At 39.9% G+C, this 25,988-nt stretch overlaps 1 protein-coding gene and 1 pseudogene across 9 annotated transcripts in view, besides 1 other annotated feature; one reads left to right on the forward strand and one right to left on the reverse strand.

Annotated features, from left to right (window-relative positions):
• BDP1 (BDP1 general transcription factor IIIB subunit) overlaps positions 1–25,988 on the forward strand; it is a 122,638-nt gene that overhangs the window by 61,084 nt on the left and 35,566 nt on the right. For all 9 annotated transcript variants that reach the window (XM_017009630.2, XM_047417372.1, XM_017009631.2 and 6 more), the window contains exons 22-30: positions 588–718; positions 5,555–5,756; positions 6,022–6,215; positions 7,205–7,589; positions 15,574–15,693; positions 22,308–22,344; positions 22,823–22,915; positions 24,720–24,948; positions 25,371–25,531. In XM_017009630.2, coding sequence (XP_016865119.1) covers positions 588–718; positions 5,555–5,756; positions 6,022–6,215; positions 7,205–7,589; positions 15,574–15,693; positions 22,308–22,344; positions 22,823–22,915; positions 24,720–24,948; positions 25,371–25,531 — 1,552 coding nt within the window. The remainder of the gene's footprint in view (positions 1–587; positions 719–5,554; positions 5,757–6,021; positions 6,216–7,204; positions 7,590–15,573; positions 15,694–22,307; positions 22,345–22,822; positions 22,916–24,719; positions 24,949–25,370; positions 25,532–25,988) is intronic.
• Positions 15,135–15,335: a silencer, noted in NCBI's record as "peak5278 fragment used in MPRA reporter construct". NCBI's record gives its function as "represses an SCP1 promoter by STARR-seq MPRAs in K562 erythroleukemia cells {active_cell/tissue: K562}" and the evidence as "EXISTENCE:reporter gene assay evidence [ECO:0000049][PMID:32103011]".
• On the reverse strand, positions 20,918–21,112 carry HMGN1P12 (high mobility group nucleosome binding domain 1 pseudogene 12; annotated as a pseudogene).

Below are 25,988 nucleotides of genomic sequence, written 5' to 3' on the forward strand. Positions count from 1 at the left end.
AACAGTTTAATCTCTTATTAATGGGTCTTTTGGTATTAGGGAAAAAGTCTAAGTAGTGTAATGTCTAAAAATGTTCATTTTAGGTAGTTCTTATTTTTCTGTTAAACAATGCAAAGTCTAGATTTAAAATAATCTTTATTTGAACCAAAAAGCTCTTTCTTAAAAAAAAAAATTAAACTTTGTTTATTTTTAATTTCATAGCAGGTGACTATTATAGTTTTCAAAGTATTATGTAAACATATTACTGCAATAATCTTTGAAACTTTTCTCTGAACTAGGCATCCTTGTTTTTGGCAACAGAATGTGAACATTACATATCCAGTTTGAATCTAATTTTAAAGAATTAACCACCCATGGTGGTATCTGCCTGTAATCCCAGTTACTCAGGAGGCTGAGGAAGGAGGATCGTTTGAGCCTAGGACTTTGAGACTAGCCTGGGCAGTATGATGAGACTATCTCAAAATGCATAAATAAAAATTTAAAAAAGAAAAGGGATTTTAAAAAACTAAATATCTTAATGGTGGAAATATTTTAAGAGGTATATTCTGCTATAAAAATAACATACTAATATGATTTTGTCTTTTCAGTCAAATTCTCAAATTGAAACTGAAATTGAAGTTCCATCGTCCGCAGTTCCAGAACACAGAATGTATGAAAATCAAAGTCAGGTGGTTCTTGTAGAAAACCTTCATGTTAACAAAACAAATGAAACAATCAGGTGAGTTTGCTTTTAATGAGAAAAAATAAGACTTTTCAAAGATAAAAGTTATATTTTTGCATAGTTGACTTTATATATTAATAACTTCACATCCTGAAAATGTTAAAAGGATAAAGTAATAAATACTTGTGATACTAGAGTCTTTTAAATCTGCTTCTCGAATACTGTATGAATTGCATGGCTGATATTCTCTTAAGTATATGATATTCCCTTAAGTATATGTAATTTCTCTGAAAAGTTTGACAAGCATCCTACTTTTTGGTACCAAAACTAAATTTTTAATAGTAGACAAAGATTCTTAAGTTCTCTGTATCTTTTTTAGAAATTTAGGCCAGGCGCAGTGGTTCACGCCTGTAATCTCCCAGCACTTTGGGAAGCCAAGACGAGAGGATCGCTTGAGTCCAGGAGTTCAAGACCAGCCTGGGCAACATAGTGAGACCTCGTCTCTATAAAAATAACAAATAAAAAAAAGAAAAGAAGTTTATAACCTACTGACTAAAATTCATTAATAGGTAGTGCTATAAAGTATACTTAACAGTATACTATATTTAGAGGTAACTACATCGAAGCCAAATGGTAAGAATGATATCTTTTAATTGAGATGAGCTAGTAGGGTGAAGAAGTTTTAACATTACCACTTTTATTTATTACTTGCTATCTGCCTTCTTATTATTAAAGCAAGATGTGTTCTTTTCTTTAGTAAAAACGCCTTTCCTTTCTGTATATAGTTCTTGGTCCATCTAACTTACTGTCTTAGTAACTAGAACATGTTTTAGTGAAGTATTTATTAATTTTCCTCCAGGATGTTTTCAGCACTTATGAATATACTTTAAATATTTCAGCTTCCTTTAATTAGGTAGAGTGACTTTGGCTTTCTGGGAAATGCAGAGGAGATGTTATTGTATCCTTTTTTAACCCTCTCTAGTTAGGTGAAGCTAGAATTTGGGCATGTTAGGTCATCTGTCAAAACAGGTGCTATTGATTTATATTTTCTTTTTATTATATTTACTTTTTGAGACAAGGTGTCTCACTGTGTCGCCCAGGATGGAGTGCAGTGGCGCAGTCACAGCTCACTGCAGCCTCAACTTCCTGGGCTCAAGCAATTCTCCCACCTCAACCTCTCGAGTAGCTGGGACCACAGGTGCACACCATCATGCCTGGCTAATATTTTTGTATCTTTTTGTAGAGATGGGGTTTCACCATGTTGCCCAGGCTGGTCCTGAACTCCTGAGCTCAAGTGAACCGCCCATCTCGGCCTCCCAAAATCTTGGGATTACATGGTGAGCCACCGTGCCCGACCTCTGTTAATTTTAGATGCTTGAAGCAGTTTGCTTTCATTTAGACGAGTTTCTAATGTGAAGTTTTTATTTTAGTATGGATTACTTTTTTTTTTTTTTTTTTGGAGACAGAGTCTCAGAGTGCAGTGGCTTGATCGTGGCTCATTGCAACCTTCGCCTCCTGGATTCAAGTGATTCTTGTGCTTCAGCCTCCCGAGTAGTTGGGATTGCAGGCACCCACCACCACACCCTACTAATTTTTGTATTTTTAGTAGAGATGGGGTTTCACCATGTTGGCCAACCTGGTCTCGAACTCCTGACCTCAGGTGATCCACCCACCTCAGCCTCCCAAAGTGCTGGGATTACAGGCATGAGCCACTGCGCCCAACCTGGATTACTTTTGTTTTCAATATTACAGCCCCTCCCCCTGCTTTTTGTCTTAAAAAGCCTTAAATTTTTTTTTGATATATAATAGTTATACATATTTTTGGACTACATGTGATATTTTGATACATTATACACAATATATAATTACCAGATCAGAGTAACTGGGATATCCATCACTTCATACTTTTATCTTTATATTGGCAACATAATTTTCTAGCTATTTTGAAATAATACAATAAATGATTGTTAACTATAATTTTTCCTACTGTACTACTGAATACCAGAACTTATTCCTTCTATCTAACTGTATTTTTATACACACTAACCAGCTTCTCATTACTCCCTTCCCTCTTGCCTTCCTAGCCTCTGGTGAGCACCATTCTAATCCCTACCTCCATGAGATCCACTTTTTAAGCTGCTACATATGAGTGAGAACCAGCAATATTTGTCTTTCTGTGCCTGGCTTATTTCACCTAACATAATGACCTCTAGTTCCATCTATGTCACTGTGAATGACAGGATTTCATTCTTTTTTATGGTTAAATAATATTCCATTGTGTATATATACCACACTTTCTCACTTTCTTTATTCATTTGTTGCTGGACACTTAGGTTGATATTATGTGTTGGCTATTGTGAATACCACTGCAGTAAACATGAGAGTTCAGATATCTCTTTGATACAGTGATTTCCTTTCTTTTGGACATACACCTGGCAGTAGGATGGCTCAATCAAATGGTAGTTCTATTTTTAGTTTTTTGAGGAACTTTCATACTTTTTTCCATAATGGCATTCCTACTTTATATTCCCACGAACAGCCTATGAGTTTTCCCATTTCTCCACATCCTGACCAGTATTTGTAATTTTTTGTCTTTTTAACAGTAGCCATTTTAACGGCAGTAGGATATCTCAGTGCAGTTTTGATTTGCGTTTCCGTGATGATTAATGATGTTGAACATTTTGTCAGACACCTGTTGGCCATTTGTATGTCTTTTGAGAACTGTCTGTTCTCTTTTGCCTATTCTTTAATCAGATTATTTGTTTTTTTGCTATTGAGTTGTTTTTGTTCCTTATATATTCTGGTTATTAACTTTTGTGAGATGGATAGTTGGGAATTTTTTCTCCCATTCTGTAGGTTGTCTCTTCACTTTGTTGATTGTTCCCTGTGCTATGCATTGAAAAGTCTTTCCATATTGCTTTTATTTTAAGATTAAGGCCAATTTTTACTTCACATTAATTTTAGGTTCCCTTAGCCATTTTTTCAGTTTTTAAAACTGGATATTTTATTGAAATGTTTTTTACTAAAATGCATTAGACTTATATTACAAATGCTATATTGGATTAGGTTGATGATTGATCTCAGAGCAATTTAACTCTGATAATGTCTAGGAAACATTACAGATGAATTTGTTTACATCATTCACTTCTCCTAATTACTAATTATGGGATTATTTTCTATGTATAATCCCTTTTTGATCTCAAAGAATTATAGAATTTTACCACTGAAAATAACCTTATATACTCATTTATTCCACAAACATTTTAGTGTCTGCTGTGTGCCAGGCATTGTTCTAAGTGCTGATGATGTAGGAATAAATGAAGAAAAAAATGCTGTCACTGTGGAGTTTATATTCTAATTGAGAAACAGATTATAAATGAGAAATAAGTTGAATAAATAAGTGATAAATCAGTAGAGAAAAATAAAGTTTTGAGTAGGGAGTGTTGTGACTGGGGATTCACTTTTTAATCAGCAGTGACCAGAGAAAGCTTCATTGAAAGGGTGCATTGAAGGCCGGGCATGGTGGCTCACACCTGTAATCCCAGCGCTCTGGGAAACCAAGGCGGGCGAATCACCTGAGTTCGGGAGTTTGAGACCAGCCTGACCAACATAGAGAAACCCCATCTCTACTAAAAATACAAAATTAGCCAGCCGTGGTGGCGCATGCCTGTAATCCCAGCTACTTGAGAGACTGAGGCAGGAGAATCGCTTGAACCTGGAGGCGGAGGTTACAGTGAGCCGAGATCGCACCATTGCACTCCAGCCTGGGTGACAAGAGCGAAACTCCGTCTCAAAAAAAAAAAAAAAGATTAGTTTTTAATGCAGATCTTTCAGAGAACTCAAGATAGGTACTTATATATCCAGTTATTCTTTATAAATATTCAGGTTTATATTAGTTTTTTTTTTTTTTTTTGGAGACAGAGTTTTGCTCTTGTTGCCCAGGCTGGAGTGCAGTGGTGCAACTTCGCCTCACTGTAACCTCCACCTCCCAGGTTCAAGTGATTCTCTTGCCTCAGCCTCCCGAGTAGCTGGGACTTCAGGCATGCACGACCATGCCCAGCTAATTTTTTATTTTTGGTAGAGATGGGGTTTTTCCATGTTGGTTAGGCTGGTCTCAAACTCCCGACCTCAGGTGATCCGCCCACCTCGGCGTCCCAAAGTGCTGGGATTACAGGCGTGAGCCACCGTGCCTGGTCTCTATTAGTTTTTAAGCTTCCTAATTCAGATCTTTGCCAGTTGCTAAAATATTGTCCAGGAAACCATTAGATAGCTATTCAGGTTACCTTGGGAGCTCTGGCTACTCTCTTGAATGCTAAAACGTCTTTTTGTTATTTGGCAGATACAGACGGATTATATTGAGAACCTTATGACATTGGTTGTCAGTAAACCCTTTTTAGTGAGAGTTCAGGCATCTGTTAGGAGAATAGACTCTACCCTTCAAGTCTACTTTAGAACTAGAAGTATCGAGTTGGTTATAACTGTCATATATTTGTTCATGCTTTGGGGGCCCAGTTGAAGGCATGTGTTTAAAGTGCCATTATGAAATCCATCTTCAGCTACTTGCCTTTTTTTTTTTGGTATCCTGTGATTTCTCTGAAAATTAAAGTAGCATGAAATCATATAATAGAATGAATAAATGAAAGTTTAAAAAGATTAATATTATTGTAAAACTTTTTCAGGCTCTATAGAAAATGGAAGCTATAAATGCTTTATAAGTTCTTTTCATATCAGCAATGTGTGGTTTCATTTTACATGCTTGATTTTATTGCCAATTTATATATAGTCCTTTGAACATAGAATTGATTTGTATCCAAAATTGTTTGATGTAACAGCTGTTATATCAACAAGAAATTCTGATTTTTGTTCTTCAACATGATTCATACTTCATTCTAGACATGAAAATAAACCGTATGTTCCTAGTTCAGCACAAATGACAAGAAGGAAATTCCAAAAGGCTAAGCCAAATTTGGGAAGAGCACACAGTAAGAAAGAGGAACCAGTTTTAGAAAAAGTCACAACAGATCAGAGCAAGGAAGGCAAGCCAGAAGATCATTTGCTGCAGAAAGGAGCTTCCAACACCCAGCTCCTTCTAAAAGTAAGTTTGGGCAAAAAAAAAAAAAAAATTTTTTTTCTCAATGAGGTCTGTTTTGTCAAGATCATGAAGAGCATGAGTAAAATACAGTTTTGACTTCTGTACTGTAACCATTTTCATGAAAAGTGACTTTCTAGTGTTGTAAAAGATGAGCAACCAACTGCTTGTAGATATGTGTAAACTTAGAGGTTTAGGCCAAACTACCAAACCAAATTAACATAGAGATTGTTTCTGTAGTAATACTAGCTAATTTCTTCTTAAATTTAAGGAAAAAGCTGAGCTTCTGACATCTCTGGAGGTTTCAGCAAGAAAAGATTGTGTAGGTTCCAAAGAGTCTGCTTTGGCAAAAATAGATGCGGAATTAGAAGAAGTTGGACCATCAAGAAGGGTTGGAGAGGAAACTGTAGGAGATAATTCACCATCTTCAGTTGTTGAAGAGCAATATCTCAATAAACTAACAAGGTAACATTTTATTTAACAAAATGTTTCACAATAAGAAATAAAAATCACTTAACTTTTACCTTAACTTACTGGTAGAACAAAATTTTTGGGTGTTGAGTCCATTAGACATGGGTAGAAACTTGACCAAAGAGGAGTATGTATGTATTAGCTAAGTAATTAAGGTGCTCATTCAAATGGAGTCACAAACACAAATAAAGAATACCCTACTTCTATAGTTTTCAAAGAAAATGGAAAGAAACTTAAGTTCTAGAAACCAGCACTGCTCTAGTGGATTTCTGCTGCCTCCTTTTTCTTTTAACCTATCTGTTTACCCAGTAGGATAAACTAATACCACATTTGATCTCATATTCTGTATTTATTGGTCCTGTGTCTTTTTTTGTTTTTGAGACAGTTTCACTCTTCTCGCGCAGGCTGGAGTACAATTGCGTGACTCGGCTCACTGCAACCTCCACCTCCCAGGTACAAGTGATTCTCCTGCCTCATCCTCCCGAGTAGCTGGGATTACAGGCGTGCACCACCGTGCCCAGCTAATTTTTGTATTTTTAGTGGAGATCAGGTTTCACCATGTTGGCCAGGCTGGTCTTGAACTCCTGACCTCAAGTGATCTGCCTGCCTCGTCCTCCCAAAGTGCTGGGAGTAGAGGCGTGAGCTACTGCGCCCAGCCGGTTCTGTGTCTTTTATCCCTTTTTCTTCTAATAATTTTCAGTTTTGTGTTTATTTTATCTTCACTTTCATATTACAGGAAAGAATGGTCCAGAATTAAAAACTTACTATGAAAAATTTGTAGGTAGATAACTAAGAATTAACTCTGAGTGAGAAACTAGTAGTTAATTCCTTTTTTATTTTCACAGCATAAGATTTTAAAAGAATGGGTGGTGGGAATTTTCATTTTAATGACTGGAACTGGAATTTCACTCTAAAAGTTTGGTTTTCATTAAAATTATCCTTGCATGCATATGACCTTATTGTTGTTTTGATTAAATATCTAGCTGTCCACAACCGTTAAACGAAACAAGTTACTCTAAAATTGCCCTGGATGGGAAAACAACTATCTCTTCTACATCTGAGTATGAGAGAAATCGTGGTGAAAGGAGAAGTCATAAAAAGTTCAAACCAAATGTCACCAGAGGTCGTGGATCAAAACGAGTTCGGGGTAAGACCTCTAAGAAGGAACCTAGAGCTTCCAAGGCCATGCTGGTGACTCTTCGGGCTTCCCAGGAAGAAGATGATGATGCTGACGATTTTGAGTCTGACTATGAGGAAGAAAGCTATCATCTTGCTCCCGAAGAAGTAAACAAAGCTCCAGTATTTGTACCTGTTGGTCTCAGATCTCCTGAACCTGTTTCTGCTCAGATTGAGGAAACAATGGAAGAGGTTCGGTTTTTTTTTAAAACCTTGGTACTTTATCTTACTTGGTTTTCACCTCTTGTTTCTTTTAGGGGATCATTATTTCTTCTCGTAGTGATTATTAGGATTTGAAGAGTTCATTCTCTAAATAACCTCTACCAAATATAATTTGGGGCCTTGTATAACCTTTTGTGATTGCTCAGTCCCTATGGCCCAGGCCCAGCAAGGGAGTCAGTGTAACAACGAGAGAAATCTGCTTACACTTGTACCTGGAAGCTGTTTAGTCTACTTTCTGATAATCTTTCTTTTTTTTTATTTTTTATTTTTTATTTATTTATTTTTTATTTATTTTTTTTTATTGATCATTCTTGGGTGTTTCTCGCAGAGGGGGATTTGGCAGGGTCATAGGACAATAGTGGAGGGAAGGTCAGCAGATAAACAAGTGAACAAAGGTCTCTGGTTTTCCTAGGCAGAGGACCCTGCGGCCTTCCGCAGTGTTTGTGTCCCTGGGTACTTGAGATTAGGGAGTGGCGATGACTCTTAACGAGCATGCTGCCTTCAAGCATCTGTTTAACAAAGCACATCTTGCACCACCCTTAATCCATTCAACCCTGAGTGGACACAGCACATGTTTCAGAGAGCACAGGGTTGGGGGTAAGGTCACAGATCAACAGGATCCCAAGGCAGAAGAATTTTTCTTAGTACAGAACAAAATGAAAAGTCTCCCATGTCTACCTCTTTCTACACAGACACGGCAACCATCCGATTTCTCAATCTTTTCCCCACTGTTCCCCCCTTTCTATTCCACAAAACCGCCATTGTCATCATGGCCTGTTCTCAATGAGCTGTTGAGTACACCTCGCAGACGGGGTGGTGGCCGGGCAGAGGGGCTACTCACTTCCCAGCAGGGGCGGCCGGGCAGAGGCGCCCCTCACCTCCCGGATGGGGTGGCTGGCCAGGCGGGGGGCTGACCCCCCCCACCTCCCTCCCGGACGGGGCGGCTGGCCGGGCAGAGGGGCTCCTCACTTCCCAGTAGGGGCGGCCGGGCAGAGGCACCCCTCACCTCCCGGATGGGGCGGCTGGCCGGGCGGGGGGCTGACCCCCCCACCTCCCTCCCGGACGGGGCGGCTGGCCGGGCGGGGGGCTGACACCCCCCACCTCCCTCCCGGACGGGGCGGCTGGCCGGGCGGGGGGCTGACACCCCTACCTCCCTCCCGGACGGGGCGGCTGGCCGGGCGGGGGGCTGACCTCCCCACCTCCCTCCCGGATGGGGCGGCTGGCCGGGCGGGGGGCTGACCCCCCAACCTCCTTCCCGGACGGGGCGGCTGGCCGGGCGGGGGGCTGACCCCCCCACCTCCCTTCCGGACGGGGTGGCTGGCCGGGCGGGGGGCTGACCCCCCACCTCCCTTCCGGACGGGGCGGCTGGCCAGGCGGGGGGCTGACCCCCACCTCCCTCCCGGACGGGGTGGCTGTTGGGCAGAGACGCTCCTCACTTCCCAGACGGGGTGGCTGCTGGGCGGAGGGGCTCCTCACTTCTCAGACGGTGTGGCTGCCGGGCGGAGGGGCTGCTCACTTCTCAGATGGGGCGGTTGCCAGGCAGAGGGTCTCCTCACTTCTCAGACGGGGCGGCCGGGCAGAGACACTCCTCACTTTCCAGACTGGGCAGCCAGGCTGAGAGGCTCCTCACATCCCAGACGATGGGCGGCCAGGCAGAGACGCTCCTCACTTCCCAGACGGGGTGGCGGCCGGGCAGAGGCTGCAATCTCGGCACTTTGGGGGGCCAAGGCAGGCAGCTGGGAGGTGGGGGTTGTAGCGAGCCGAGATCACGCCACTGCACTCCAGCCTGGGCACCATTGAGCACTGAGTGAACGCAACTCCGTCTGCCATCCCGGCACCTCGGGAGGCCGAGGCTGGCGGATCACTCGCGGTTAGGAGCTGGAGACCAGCCCAGCCAACCTCTGATTAATCTTTCAAACATTTTGGTGTTTTCTGGTTGATAGAGAAGCTAGAAGGGACATACTTTTTTTTTTTTGATTTGGACCAGGCATGGTGGCTCACGCCTATAATCCCAGCACTTTGGGAGGCCGAGGTGGGTGGATCATCTGAGGTCAGGAGTTTGAGACTAGCCTGACCAACAAGGTGAAACCCTGTCTCTACTAAAATACAAAAATTAGCTGGGCGTGGTGTCAGGTGCCTGTAGTCCCAGCTACTGGGGAAGCTGAGACAGGAGAATTGCTTGAACCCGGGAAGCGGAGGTTGCAGTGAGCTGAGATCGTGCCACTGCACTCCAGCCTGGGAGACAGAGCGAGACTCTATCTCAAAAAAAAAAAAAAAAAAAAAGAAGAGTGCTAAAATACATGTAACATAAAATTTACTATCTCTCTCTCTGTTTTTTTTTTTTTTTTTTTAAAGACGGGGTCTCAGTCTGTCACCCAGTCTGGAGTGCAGTGGTGGGATCTTGGCTCATTGCAACCTCCACCTCCCAGGTTTAAGTGATTATCCTGCCTCAGCCTCCTGTAGCTGGGACTACAGGTGTGCACCACCAAGCCTGATTAATTTTTGTATTTTTGGTAGAGGCAGGGTTTTACCATGTTGGCCAGGGTGGTTTTGAACTCTTGACCTCAAGCAATCCACCTGCCTCGGCCTCCCAAAGTGCTGGGATTACAGGCGTGAGCCACCATGCCCAGCCATCTTACTCATTTTTAAGTGTACACTTCAGTGGCATTAAGAACATTCACATGTACGTGTTGTCATGCTACCATCACTACCATCCATCCACAGAACTCTTTTTTAAAATTAATTAATTTAGAGATGGGGTTTCGCTATGTTGCACAGTCTGGTCTCAAACTCCTGAGCTCAGGCAATCCTCCTGCCTCGGCCTCCCAAAGTGCGGGGATTACAGGCACGAGCTACTGCGTTCTTTTTTAAGATGATTAAGACATCCCGCAATGAGTGGTTGTCCCCTAGCCTGGCAAAAAACCAAGATACAAGATACAAACACCCAACACCTGTCCCTTGAGCCCCATCTCTATGCCGTCTGGCCTGGTCACTCTCAGGTCTGCCTTGCACCCCTGGCGAACTCTTTTTATTTTGTTAAAACTGAAATTCTATACCCATTAAACAGTAACTCTCCATTCCTCCCACCCCCTAACCTTTTGGCAACCACTTTTCTACATCTTGTCTCTTTAATTTGACTCCTCATGTAAGTGGAATCATACAGTATTTTTTTGTGTGACCATTTTATTTCATTTAGCATAATGTTTTCACAGTTCATCTATGTTGTAGCTTATGTCAGAGTGTTCTTCATTTTCGAGGTTCAATAATATTCCATTGTGTGTGTGTATCATGTTTTGTTTATTCCTTTATCATCAATGGACACTTGGGTTGCTTCCACCTTTTGGCTGTTAGAAATAATGCTGGTATGAACATAGTTGTATAAATACCTCTTTGAATCTCTGCTTTTACTTTTTGCGGGATATACCCAGAAGTGGAATTGCTGGATCGTATGGTAATTCTTTTAATTCTTTTTTTTTTTTTTTGAGATGGAGTCTCTGTTGCCTAGGCTGGAGTAGAGTACAGTGGCGCAATCTTGGCTCACTGTAACCTCCATCTCCCAGGTTCAAGCAATTCTTCTGCCTCAGCCTCCCAAGAAGCTGGGATTACAGGCACCTGCCACCACACCCAGCTAATTTTTTTGTATTTTTAGTAGAGGTGGGGTTTCACCATGTTGGCCAGGCTGGTCTCAAACTCCTGACCTCAAATGATCCATCTGCCTGGGCCTCCCAAAGTGCTGGGATTACAGGTGTGAGCCACTGCACCCGGCCTCGATCTTATGTTAATTCTATACTTAACTTTTCAAGCAACCTTTATACTGTTTTTCATAGGGCTGTTATCATTTTACATCCCTATCAACAGTGTACAAGCATTGCAGTTTCGCTACATCCTCACCAGTCGTAGCTATGTTGTAACTTTGGCTAGTAATCATCCTAAGGGTTGTGAACTAGAGAAACGTGTTGAACATATTTAGCTTCCTTACACTTTTGCCTGTTAGTCTGCCATTCCAACTTTGTAACTTCAAAGTTTTCTGTTCTGCCTTAATTTTCAGTCACTTCTTTGGCTTACTGAGGAGCATATCTGAGTCAGTTTTGTGTAAGCATTCATGATAGTTTCTGAGTAATTTGAAATGAATCAGAGTTAACTAAGATAGTGGCAACAATAAAAGAAGCAGTAAGAAACAGTAAACAATTCAAGTAATGTTTAAGATAATTAAGGTAAACTTTACATGTTAATGTAATTCCATTAAGAATTAACGGATTATCTGAATCTGTAAAGTCACATTTATGAAGGGAAGTCAAAATCTACTTTTATTCAGTGTTAATAATAACCTGGTAAATGTTTTAGAGTAAATGAACTAATAAAATGGTTGAAGCTAATTTAAATGATGCAAAATGAGGTTGTTTCTTACAATTCAAAGTAAAGATAGTAAATGTAAGCATTATGTGAAACCAAGAAAATGCAGAAGGAAGAGTAATTTTGTGGAAAGATATCTGGTTAATGCTGCATGAGAGTTCATTTAGCTATATATTTTGTATTTTTCTTTAAGTGAAGGCAAATTGCTAGTGAAACTATCAGTAATTAATTTCTGAAAATTAGATTCCAGACTGTATCCCTGAATTAATACAGGCTATCTTTTTTAATAGCATTAATCATAGTAATTGACAAGGCTTTCCTTAGATTCTATTCCTTATGGCCAGCCTACTAAACAGGGAAATTCATATATATGTTAGAAAAAATGTTCTTTAAAAAGCATTGAGGCCAGGCACGGTGGCTCACACCTGTAATCCTAGCACTTTGGGAGGTTGAGGTGGGCGAATCACGAGGTCAGGAGTTCGAGACCAGCCTGGCCAACATGGTGAAACCCCATCTCTACTAAAAATACAAAAATTTGCTGGGCGTGGTGGTGGGCGCCTGTAATCCCAGCTACTTGGGAGGCTGAGGCAGGATAATCGCTTGAAACCAGAAGGCAATGGTTGTGGTGAGCCAAGATCACACCACTGCACTCCAGCCTGGGCGAAAGAGCGAAGCTCTGTCTCAAAAAACAAAAGCATTGAAAGGCCAGGCATGGTGGCTCATGTCTGTAATCCCAGTGCTTTGGGAGGTTGAGGCGGAGGATCAGTTGAGGGCAGGAGTTCAAGACCAGCCTATACAACATAGCAAGACCCTGTCTCTACATTCAGTCAATAAATTAGCAAGGTGTGTTGGTGCGTATCTATAATCCCAGCTACTCAGAAGGCTGAGTGGGGAGGGTTGCTTGAACCCAGGAGTTTGAGGTTACAGTAAGCTACAATCATGCCACTGCATTGTAGCCTGGACAACAGGAGGAGACAAAAGCTTTGAAGCACAATGGAATGTTTTTCAGCCCTAAAGGGATATAAAGTGTTGATATGTGTCACAACATGGATGAATTTTGGAAACCTTAGGCCAAGTGAAAGAAGCTAGTTACAAAGTATCGCATACTGTGTGATTCCATTCATATGAAATGTCCAAAATAAGGAAGTCCACAGAGACAGAAAGTAGATTAATGGTTGCCTAGGTTTTGGCAGATGGGGAAGAGAGGGGTTAAGGGAGAGATAGCTAATGGGTATAAGGTTTATTTTTGAAGTGACAAAAATGTTCCACATTTGAATGTGGTGATGATTGCACATATCTGTGAATATCCCAAAATACATTGAATTGTACACCTTAAGTGGGTTAACTGTATGTTATGTGAATTGCAAGTCTTTTTTAAAATAAACTGTATGATGCTTAAAAAACCAACTTTTACTTTATAGAATATTCCCTTTTCCCATCCAGTCCCAACTCTTCAAGAAGTATTTTTTCTTCTCAAATCATCTGAACTTTAAAATTTTTTTTTGTTACATTTATTTATTTTTCTTTTCTTTATTTTTATTTTTTTGAGATAGGGTCTTACTCCATTGCCCAGGCTGGAGTGCAGTGGCATGATTTCAGCTTGCTGCAACCCCCGCCTCCCAGGCTCAAGCAATCCTCCCACCTCAGCCTCCTGAGTAGCTGGGACTACAGGTGCACAACCACCACACCCGGCTAATTTTTTTTTTATTTTATTTTCAATAGAGATGGGGTTTTACCATGTTGTCCAGGCTGGTCTCAAACTCCTGAGCTCAAACAATCTGCCAACCTCAGCCTCCCAAAGTGCTGGGATTACAGGCATGAGCTACCGTGCCTGGCCTATTGTTTTTAAATTCATTTTTTTGGAGACAAGATCTTGCTGTGTTGTCCAGGCTGGCCTCAAACTCCTAGGCTCAAGCGACCCTCACACCTCAGCCTCCGAGTAGCTAGAACTACAGGCATGTGCCCCCGTGCTCACTTGAATTTTTTGGTTCATCCCAGTCCTGTCAGATATTACCAAAGATTTTTCTCTAAATTTTGTATCTGAGGAAACAGATGTGGTACATACAAATGTAATTATAACAAATATGTTGGCTGGGCACAGGGTCTCATGCCCATAGTCCCAGCACTTTGGGAAGCCAAGGTGGGCAGATCGCTTGAGTGCAGGAGTTCGAGACCAGACTAGGCAACATGGCGAAACCTCATCTTTACAAAAAATACAAAAATTAGGCATGGTGGCACATGCCTGTAGTCCCAGCTACTTGGAGGGCTGAGGCGGGAGGATTGCTTGAGCCTGAGAGGTTGAGGCTGTAGTGAACCCTGATAGTGCCACTGCACCGCAGCTTGGGCGATAGAGTGAGGCTTTGTCTCAAAAAAAAAATAACGTATGTCTTGAAGGCAGATTCTCAGACTTGACTCTTTACTCACAGTTTCTACTCAGCCATACAACGTTTTATACTGTTTTTTTCTGTTAATAAGAGAATAGGCCCAGGTGTTGTGGCCATCATCGCACCACCGCAGCTGGGGTGACATGAGTGAGACCCTGCCTCAGAATAACAAAAGAAAAACAAAAAAATAAGATAATAAGAACCAGACTATATTGTATGTATTCTAGTAGGTAAATACCTTTTTAGTGCTCAGATTACACGGCTCTTTAAGTAATAGGACTCACAAATGAAGAGTAAATATGAGTGAACTTCTTATTTTACATGGCTGTTGCCCTGGGTATCAAGAATCGTGCAGGCTTTGGGGTTTTGGGAGAAGGGAGTTGGTGTGGGGGCAGTGGTATGATAAATATTTTATTTATTTATTTATTTATTTTTGAGAACAACTTGTCACTCTGTTGCCCAAGCTAGAGTGCAGTGGCATAATCTCGGCTCAATGCAACCTCCACCTCCTGGGTTCAAGCGATTCTCCTGCCTCAGCCTCCCCAGTAGCTGGGACTACAGGCAGGCACCACCATGCCCGGCTAATTTTTGTATTTTTAGTAGAGATGGGGCTTCGCTGTGTTGGCCAGGCTGGTCTTGAACTCCTGACCTCAGGTGATCCACCTGCCTCGGCCTCCCAAAGTGCTGGGATTACAGGCGTGAGCCACTGCGCCTGGCCCGATAAATACTTCTAAGGGCTTTCAACTCATTATAGATAGCATTTATGACCGTATATAATTAGTTGATTACATGTCTGCTTTTCTGTTAGATTGTGAATTCATTGAGGATAGGGACTACACTTATCTTATTTGACTTTATATCCCTGTACACCTAGCCTTCTATAAATGTTAACAGACTGAACAGAGAAATTAGGGGGAAAGTGAGGACAAAGTGAAGAAAATGGAAAATGAAATGCCAGGCACTAAGAAGATGAGTCTTAGAAAATTTGCTTACTGGTTTTAATAGTCACAGCCACCTCAAAAATTTTAAATGTTTTACTTTTGCCAAGTTGCTGTCAGTCAATAAAAGAATTACTCCATTCCATTTTTTAAGTTATGTATGAATGTGGATTATTTCTTCATTTTAGCGTTTCATCTTACTTATTCATGTTGAAGATGAGGCTTTGTTTTGCTGTTTATAATATGCCAAAATGAAATGATAAAACTTTATTTTGACAGCTTGAAATAACTGTGAATGTCCCAGATGTAGGATGCATAGCTGTTGTTGAACATGAGCTACCAAACACAGATGTGACTACTGAAGAAATGAAACAAGAAGAAAATTTGAGTGTACCGTTTGTAAGCATCCATTTTAATATGTTTTGGCCTTTTATTCTTTGTTTACTTTGAAAAGACTGGAGGTTCCTTTTGATAGCTTTAGGTTTATAAACACTTTACTTAGCTAATTTCTCTTTGTAAGGAGCTGTTAGTCTGAGTAGTAAAAACTAGTGAAAGCAATGATTTTGTTTGTTTGTGGGCAGAGCTCTTAATATCCTCATAGACTTTTACATTAAAATTCAGTTGCATTAAATTTATACTAAGTATAAACAAGTTAAAATATATTCTGTTGCGTTTTATTTGCACTCTTCCATTATTGGTATTTATTTGCCTTTGCAAGCGGAGGCTTGAAATTGTAACTTTTTAAAAACAGCTTTATTGACATATAATTTACACACCATATGATTTTCTCATTATTTAAAGTGCACAATTAAGTGACTTCTAGTATCGTGCAAACATTATCACAGTCAATTTTAGGACATTTTCATCACCTCAAAAAGAAACCTTATTAGCAGTCACTACTCCTTTCCTCCCAACCCTCACTGGCCTGGGGAACCAATAATTTGCCTTCTGTCTTTATAGATTTGCCTGTTCTAGATGTTTCCTAGACATGAAATTATAAAATCTGATCATTTGTGTCTGGCTTTTTTCACTTAATGTAACATTTTTTACTGTTCATCTATGTTGCAGCATGTAGTGGTACTTCCTTACTTTTTGTAGCCTAATAATATTCCATATGGATATGGTACATTTTGTATATCCATTCATCCATTCATGAACATTTGGATTATTTTCATTTTTTGTGTGTTATACATAATGCTGCTGTAAACATTCATGTAGAAGTGTTTGTGTACAATATGTTTTTATTTCTCTTGGGTACATTTCTAAAAATGTAATTGCTGAGTCATATGGTAACTCTATGTTTCATCAGTTGAGGAACTGCCAAACTGTTTTCCAAAGTAGCTATACCCTTTTACATTCCCACCAGCAGTTTATGAGGGTTCCTGTTCTTCCATGTCCTTGCCGGCACTTGTTATTTCACTTTTTTTTTTGTTCGGTGGATTTTTTTTTTTTTTTTTGAGACGGCCTTGCATTGTCACCCAAACTAGAGTGCAGTAACACAATTGTAGCACACTACAGCTTTGACCTCCTGAGTGTAAATGATCCTCTCCACTCAGCATCCCAAGTAGCTGGGACTGCAGGTGTGTGCCACCATGCCCAGCTAATTTTTTTTTTTTGTAGAGGTGGGGTCTTGCTGTGTTGTTCAGGCTGGTCTCGTACTCCTGTCCTCAAGTGATACTTTTACCTCAGCCTTCCAAAGTGTTGGGATTACAGGCATGAGCCACTGTGTCTGGCTTGACTTTTTGGATCTAGCTGTCCTAGTGAGTGTGAAGTGGTGTCACATTGTGGTTTTGATTTGTATTTCCTTGGTGACTAATGATGTCAGGCACATTTTATGTTCCTATTGGCCATTTGTATATCATCTTTGAGAAATGTCTATTCAAATCTTTTGTCTGTTTTTCTTTTATTGTGCTATTTGTCTTTTTATTATTGAGTTGTAAGGAGTCTTTATATAATCTAGATAAAAGTTGCTTAGCAGGTATATGATTTGCAAATATTTCCTCCCTTTCTGTGGGGTTGTCTTTTCACTTTCTTGATTTCCTTTAAAGCAAAAAGTTTTAAATTTTGATGAAGTTCAGTTAATCTGTTTTTTCATTTGTTGCTCATGCTTCTGTTGTCAGATCTGAGTCCTTTGTCAAACCCAAGGTCATGAAGATTTACCCATTTTTCTTCTAAAAGATGATTTTTGCTTTTACGTTTAAGTCTTTGATCCATTTTGAGTTTATTTTTATACATGGATAACCTCATTATCCAACTTATGTCTTTTGCATGTTGCTATCCATTTGTCCTATCACCATTTATTCGAAAAGACTATTCTTTCCCCATTGAATAGTCTTGGCACCCTTATCAAAAATCAGCTGACCATAGATGTATGGGTTTATTTCTGAATTCTCAATTCTGTTGCATAGATCTATATGTCTGTTCTCATGCTGGTGATGCTATATTGATTACTGTTACTTTGTAGTAAGTTTTTTTTTTGTTGTTGTTGTTGAGATGGAGTCTCGTCTGTCGCCCAGGATGGAGTGCAGTGGCATGATCTCAGCTCACTGCAAGCTCCGCCTCCTGGGTTCACACCATTCTCCTGCCTCAGCTTCCCAAGTAGCTGGGACTACAGGCGCCCACCACATTTTGAGACGGAGTTTTCCTCTTGTTGCCCAGGCTGGAGTGCAATGGCGCGATCTTGGCTCACCACAACCTCTGTCTCCCTGGTTCAAGCAATTCTCCTGTCTCAGCTTCCCGAGTAGCTGGGATTACAGGCATATGCCACCACGCCCTGCTAATTTTGTATTTTTCGTAGACACGGGGTTTCTCCATGTTGGTCAGGCTGGTCTCGAACTCCTGATCTCAGGTGATCCACCCGCCTCTGCCTCCCACAGTGCTGGGATTACAGGCATGAGCCACCGTGCCCGGCCTGGGATTGTTTTCTTAATTTCATTTTTGGATTGTTCGTTGCAAGTGTGTAGAAATAAAAATGATTTTTGTATATTAGCTTTATATCCTGCAACTTCTTTGGTGGATTCCTTAGGATTTTCTATTTGTCAAATCATGTCATCTGCAAATAAAGATAGTTTTACTTCTTTCTGTATTAGTTTCCTAGGATCACTGTAACAAAGTACAGATGCTCCTCGACTTATGAGGAGATTATGTCCTGATAAACCCATCATAAAATAACAATTTTTTTTTTTTTTTTAAAGACAGAGTCTCACTCTGTTGCCCAGGCTGGAGTGCAATGGCGCAATCTTGGAGGCTCACTGCACCCTCCGCCTCCCAGTTTCAAGTGATTCTCCTGCCTCAGCCTCCAGAGTAGCTGGGATTACAAGCGCCCGCCACCACATCCAACTAATTTTTGTATTTTTAGTAGAGATGGGGTTTCACCATGTTGGTCAGGCTGGTCTCGAACTTCTGACCTCAGGTGATCTGCCCACCTTGGCCTCCCAAAATGCTGGGATTACAGGTGTGAGCCACCGTGCCCGGCCTAAAATAAAAAAATTTTAAGTCGGGTACTCTTTGCACCACAAACTTGATAGCTTATAACCACAGAGAATTCTCCAGGCACTTATGGAGATGAGAAAAACAAAACAAAACAAATTTATTCTCTCACAGCTTTAGAGTCTAGAAGTCTAAAATCAAGGTGTCACCAATGTTGGTTCCTTCTGGAGGCTCTGAGGAAGAACCATCCCATGCCTTTCTCCTGCCTTCTGGTGGTAGCCGGCAGTCCTTACCATTTCTCAGCATGCAGCAGCATACTTCCACCCTCTGCCTCCATTACCACATGGCATTTTCCCCTTGTGTATGTGTAACCTCTCATCTTATAAGGAAAGGACACCAGTCATATTGGATTAGCACCAACTCTAATCCAATATGACCTCATCTAAATTTGATTATATCTACAAATACCCTATTTTTAAATAATGTCATATTCACATTATTTGGGTTTAAGACTTTGACATATCTTTCTAGGGGACACAATTCAACCTTTGATACTTTCTGACCTGAATGCCTTTTATTTCTTTTTCTTGCCTAACTGCCCTGGCTAGAACCTATAGTTCAAAGTTTAATAGAAGCGAGAGTGGGCATTTTGGTCTTATTCCTGATCTTAGGGGTAAAGTATCCAGTCTTTCATCATTTATTTTTTTCATAATTGAGATTTTATTGGTTGTGTTGAGGATCAGTACACAATTCTTCACATTTATACCGAAAATCTAAAAAGCCATGTATTGTAATTATTTTTAAGTTACTCTGGTGACTTTCCAGCTTAAAATTTGGAGGCAAGTTTTCATTAAAAGGCTATCAAGTACCAGTATCCTTACATGTTGATAAACTGTTACATACTTCCACAATTTGCAGTTAAATAGCATATATACTGCATACTCAAATTTTCAGTCTTTCACAGCACATTAACAAAATTATTAGGAAAACAGGACTACCACAACCAAAGATTTATAGAGTGCATACAATTCTGACAGGGAGAGCCATGATCAAGGAGTGGTTTTCTTTAGGAAGCAATTCTGCTAAAAAACAACATGGGCCCAGGCGCGGTGGCTCATGCCTATAATCTCAGTAATTTGGGAGGTGGGAGGATCACATGGTAGTTCAAGGCCAGCCTGGGCAACAGAGGGAGACTCTGTCTCTACAAATATGTTTTTTAAAAGTTGGCCAGTCATGGTGGCATGCGCCTGTGGTCCCAGCTACTGTGGAGGCTGAGGCAGGAGGATCGCCTGGGCCCAGGAGGTTGAGGTTGCAGTAAGCTGTCATCGCCGTCACTGCACCCCAGTCTGGGCATCAGAGCAAGACTCTGTCTCAAACAAACCTGAACCAGGTCGAGCGCGTTGGCTCACGCCTATAATCCCAGCACTTTGGGAGGCCGAGGCAGGCAGATCACAAGGTCAGGAGTTTGAGACCAGCCTGGCCAACATGGTGAAACCCCGTCTCTACTAAAAATACAAAAAATCAGCCGGGCATGGTGGCACATGTCTGTAATCCCAGTTACTTGGGAGGCTAAGGCAGGAGAATTGCTTGAACCCAGGAGGCGAAGACTGCAGTGAGTGGAGATTGCACCATTGCACTCCAGCCTAGGCAACAGAGCAAGACTCTGTCTCAAAGCCAAAAAACCAAAAAACCAAAAAAAAAAAAAAAAAAAAAAAGAACCAGAACCAAACCATGGGAATAAAAGTAACTTAAAAATTTCAAGACATCAGATACAGGACTGTGACTCCATATTGCCAGTTAATATAGTGGAATGTTAAGATGATACCCAAGACAGTCAAAGCCTCCCATAATTCAATATCGCACACTGTTTTCTGGTTGTACCAAAAAATAAACAACTGGAAAATGATTTTTACCCTTAAAAGCATGTACACTTAAAAAATGGGATGAGGTGGGATTTCCTTCTTCTTAAAAATGTTTCTAGAGTTACTAAAAAACTTGCATTTGTGAAATAGTTGAGAAAAATATTCCTCTGGAATGTACAAGAAGGGAGACAGGTACTATTGGTAAGACATAGTATATGATATTAATCAGACTTGGCTTTTTTTCTCTCTGGGCTTCATCAGAGGCTGGACTTTCCTTGGTTTTTGTTTCTCTGTTTTCTGTAGGTAAATCTGATTTCTTGGTTAGCCACTTTGGTTTGTTTTCCCTTTGTTCCCCGTTTTTCTCTTGTTTGCACTTTTTTTGTCTGGAGATTTATCCTTTCCTGCTGCCTTTTTTGGCTTTGTTTCCACTTTTGCAGGAGCAGGTTTAGCTGACAGTCATACTAATCTCATCTTGGGCTCTTTCCTTCACCGCCCTTCTGCTGAGCTGATCTTCCTCTTGGGCATCTTGTGGTCAGGAGTGTGCATGCTGGGTGCCTGTGAGCCGCACCATGCTGAGAGCCTTCTCAAAGCTGGGCTGCCTGGCTGCTACCACTCCTCCCATCCTGTCTTATCATTAAGTATGATGTTACCATGGATTTTTCATAAACGTCCTTTACCAGGCTAAAGAAGTTACTTTCTATTCCTAGTTTGTTGAATGTTTCTTTCATTAAAGGGTGTTGGAATTTGTCATATGCTTTTTCTGCATTTATGGAGATGATCATGTGAATTTTGTTTTTCATTGTATTTTTTGGACGTTAAACCAACCTTGCTTCCCCAGGATAAATTCTAGGATCATAATGTCTAATTTTTATTCATTGTTGGATTCAGCTTGCTAGTATTTTATTGGTGATTTTTATGTCCATATTCATAATAGATATTGGTCTGTACTTTTCTTGTGATGTCAGGAGATGAAGTCCTACTCCCCTAGGGAAAAATGCTCTCCAGGTGGGACCTTGGGGACTGGGGGCCTTGTATTTTTGGGTGCAGCAGTTTGAGGTGGAGTCTCTGCCATGCTGAGCTGGGAGGAAGGAGAGAGAAAGAGCAGTGTTAGTTCACATAGACTCTCACCTTTGTTAGCAAATTTTCAGATTTTCTTGAACAGATATTTCTTCATTTGCTTTTTGTCGTTAGGATCAGTTTCAGAGGCTTTTAAATGTTTTGTTTTTAAAATCAGTTTCACTGAGGAGTGGGTCAGTGAAGCTTCTCAAGCTGTCGCTCTGGACATTGGTTCTGTAACTTCTTAATTTATTAAAATGCATTTAAGTTTTAAGCTACGTAGTAGTATAAAAATTTTGCAATACCCTTTAGGCCTTGGTTTCCATTGGGTAAAAATTGGCAGCAGATATGACTAGAGTTGAAGGATTATGAAAATGAAGAAGTAAAGTAAGAATGGTAGACGTACATAACAAAATGATAAGAGTTAAAATTTGCACATAATACAAGAAAAAGATAAAGTCAGGAGCAAGAGACACAAGAATTTTGCCTTTAAATTGTTTATGTTCTTGCTGGTGAAATTTTGTGAATAATTATAAATTAAGACAAACCAGTTTACACTATTGTAGCTAAAAGTATGGAAAGACCTCTGAAAATGTAGTGCATGCTGAGAAACAGAACATGTTTGGGGAAGTATTTTAAGATGTTACTTATTTTTTTCCTTTTTAGGAAATGACCACAAGTGAACATATCCAAGATGAACCAGGTAACTGTTATCAAGGAAACTGCTAAGACTACCTTGATTAACACTAGTACAGTGATTTAATAGTGGGGATAATAAATGAATCAGTTTGCTGGAGAGTTTAACAAAAAGATTCAGCTATTGAATGTGTTGTCTCTGTGAGAAATGTGGATTCTTGGAATGTTATTTTAGAAGGTGAATTAAAAAAATGTTTAAGAAGTATTTGAGCATTTCCTCTGGATCTTCACAAATGGGAGAGCATTTTCCTTGAAGATATTATTTAATGGGAGGGAGGCATGGTCAGTGAGTCAAAACCAACAGTGATGATTTATTTATTTGTAGCATATAACCTGAACAAAAGACTACCTTAGTAAGGGATTAATGGCTCAGAGGATATTGGAATCTGCTCCTAGGAGATAAACACCTTAATTAAAAATCTTTTTTAAGTGAACAGATTTCCGGATTCATTCTTTTTTTTAATGTTGATATATTTCCTCACAAGGTACCAATGATGGAAGCACCGAAGCTGCAATAACTTTACTTACAATGGGAGATCTAGTATTGCAGTCAGAGATCAGTAGTGAACAGGGTGATGGTAAGAATGAAAGCTAAGTCCTATCAAAAATAGAAACTTTTAAAACCTAACTTAAGAAATTATACCCACATTTGAGTAATAACCCTTTTACCTTTGAAGTTGTCTCCATTTTGTTGTTCTTCCATAAAATATGATATGTATGTATTGATCCATCCACTATTTTACTACTGTTTAGGTGTAGTGACAGCTAATTCAAGATCATGCTCTTGGTTTATTAAGAATAATTTGTATTCATGGAATAGTTGTATGCATGGAATAGTTGTATGCATGGTAAAGGTAGTGAATACTACCTTTACCATCATAAATGTCATTGGTTAACTGAGCTCATTGATCACTGATATAGTTTATACATGTGTCTTTTGCAAAGGAGTTGCTGCTTGGGATGGTATTCACAATTAGATGACAAATAGAGCACAAAGAGACAATAGCACTCATTGAAATAATTTAGTTTAAACTGTTCTCAGTTTGGACAGAGCCAAAAGATATATCAACCAAGATTTTTAACTTATTAGATGGAAATCACAGACAAGTGATAAATCTTTACTATCTCAATATCTTTTAATTGCATGAAATGAATAATTATACTATTCCTGGTAATTATTTTGCCTGGTTACCATTCATTTTATTTACTTATTTATTTATTTGAGACGGAGTTTGGTTATGAGTAGCCTACCATTCATCTTATTTATTTATTTGAAGCAGAGTTTCGCTCTTGTCACCCAGGCTGGAGTGCAATGGTGCGATCTTGGCTCACTGCAACCTCTGCCTCCCAGGCTCAAGCAATTCTCCTGCCTTAGCCTCTCAAGTAGTTGGGATTACAATCGCATGCCACCATGCCCAGCTAATTTTTGTATTTTTAGTAGAGTTGGGGTTTCACCATCTTGGCCAGGCTGGTCTCGAACTGCTGACCTCAGGTGATCCACCCGTCTTGGCCTCCCAAAGTGCTGGGATTACAGGCATGAGCCACCGCACCCAGCTTCCATTCATTTTAAGTATTAGACTTTTGGGCCAGATGCAGCAGCTCATGCCAATAATACCAGCACTTTGGGAGGCTGAGGCTGGTGAATGCTTGACTTCAGGAGTTCAAGACCAGCCTGGGCAACATGGTGGAACCCCGTCTCTACAAAAAATACAAAAAATTAGGCAGGCATGGTGGTGTACACTTGTAGTCCTAGCTGCTTGGGAAGCTGAGGTGGGAGGATCGCTTGAGCTCAGGAGGTCAAGGCTGCAGTGAGCTGAGATCGCACCACTGCACTCCAGCCTGGGTGACAAAGTGAGACACTGTCTCAAAAATAGATAAATAAAGACATATTAGACTTTTAGGCTTGGAACCATGTATTTATCAGGAAAGTCTCTGATTTGTGTTCTGTATAGGGCTCCTTTCTTAGTGGCAGAGTATTGCAGTACAGCCTGTCAAAAACATATAGAACATAAAGTACATATAGAACATAAAGGTTTTAAAAATCTTAAATGCTGACAGTGCTGTCTTGAAATCCATCTGAGATTATATAATTACTGAAAGTAACAAAAGAACTCATTTTTACTAATAATCGGATAAAATTCCAGTCTGTAAGGATTATTAAGCTCACAACAGGTCAAATCCCTGGCATGAAATAGGGAGATCATAAATTTACAGCCAACAAGGGCAAAATTTATTTATTTCTAAAATCTTTTTCTATTGCTGCCACACAAATGAAGCAAACTTTAATAATACAGAATTTTACAATTACTAAATGTTGAGGAATTTATTTTGAGCATCTATAATTTGGTCCATTTTAATTTTGTTTTTTTTTTTTTTCTTCAGTAGGAGTATGTATAATTCCTCATGTTCATTCAAAGGATAAAAGCCATATTCCTTCTAGCCTAGATAATGTAAATCACAAAATTGTTCATGAATGTCAGGAACTTTCTTCACCTGTCATTACTACATCTCCTGCATCATTTGAAGAAAACAAGATTGTATTGGAGGAACAAAGTTCCAGAGAAGAAATAAGTTTAATGGAGAAAGTAAAGGAGAATGCTACACCAACCAGGTTTATTTTAGTATTCAATTAATAAATATTACTAAAACCACCATCAAATTAGTTAATAGCTTTGAGTAATGCTTTAAATGTAAAGTAGGCAATGCTAATTTCTTACCCTTTAAAGATAGACTGATTTTGATTTTAGGTTAGTGGTTTGCATGTTTAAATTATAGTAGTAAATGTTGTGTATCTTTGAAGCTTTAATGAAATAGATTTATGTAAATGTCTCTGTTTTACAAATACAGACTAAATTCTCTTCTTAAGACCTCTAGTAAAGTTACTACTTTGTAATTTTAGTATTAAGAAATGAACACTTGTAGACAGTGTGGCACCTAACAGGTCATTCACTCTATCAGTGCTAGACAGACTGTATTAATGTGAGAGAGCAAGATCTAACATGATTCATGAATTTCTCTATCTTCTGTTTTTAGGAATACAATTTCTAAAGTGACCAGTAATTTGAGAATAAGAAGTAGGCTTGCTAAGCCTAAACCAAATCTTGAGAAGACTTTAGGGACCAACAGGCTTGATGATTATCAGGAAGTTTCCAGTTTGTGTGTAACCAAAGGGGCAGAAATGGAAACTCAAAGAGGTAAATTTTATTCTCTTAATATGTTGCAAAATCATTTTGACACAAGAAATTACATTAACATTTCAAAGAAATATTTGGTCATTAAATTGTTTTAACTTACAATAAAATAGTTTCAAATTAAAAAGTAAGACGAGCTATAAAATAAATACCCATAAATCTACCAATTGGTTTTAGTAATTAATACCATTTTGCTACATTTGTTTGATCAATTTTTTGTCCTTTTATTCTCTCTCTGTCTCTCTCTTTCTCTCATTCTCTCTCTCTCATAGTTGACCCTTGAACTAGGGGCACTGACCTCCCCATTCAGTCAGAAATTTGTGTATAGGCTGGGTGCAGTGACTCACACCTGTAATTCCAGCACTTTGGGAGGCTTGAGCCCAAGAGTTCGAGGCCAGCCTGGACAATAGTGACACCCTGTCTCTTATGAATTGAAAACATATATATATATATATTCATG

This window comes from Homo sapiens, chromosome 5 (genome assembly GCF_000001405.40).
Source record: "Homo sapiens chromosome 5, GRCh38.p14 Primary Assembly".
Classification (NCBI taxonomy): Eukaryota; Metazoa; Chordata; class Mammalia; order Primates; family Hominidae; genus Homo; species Homo sapiens.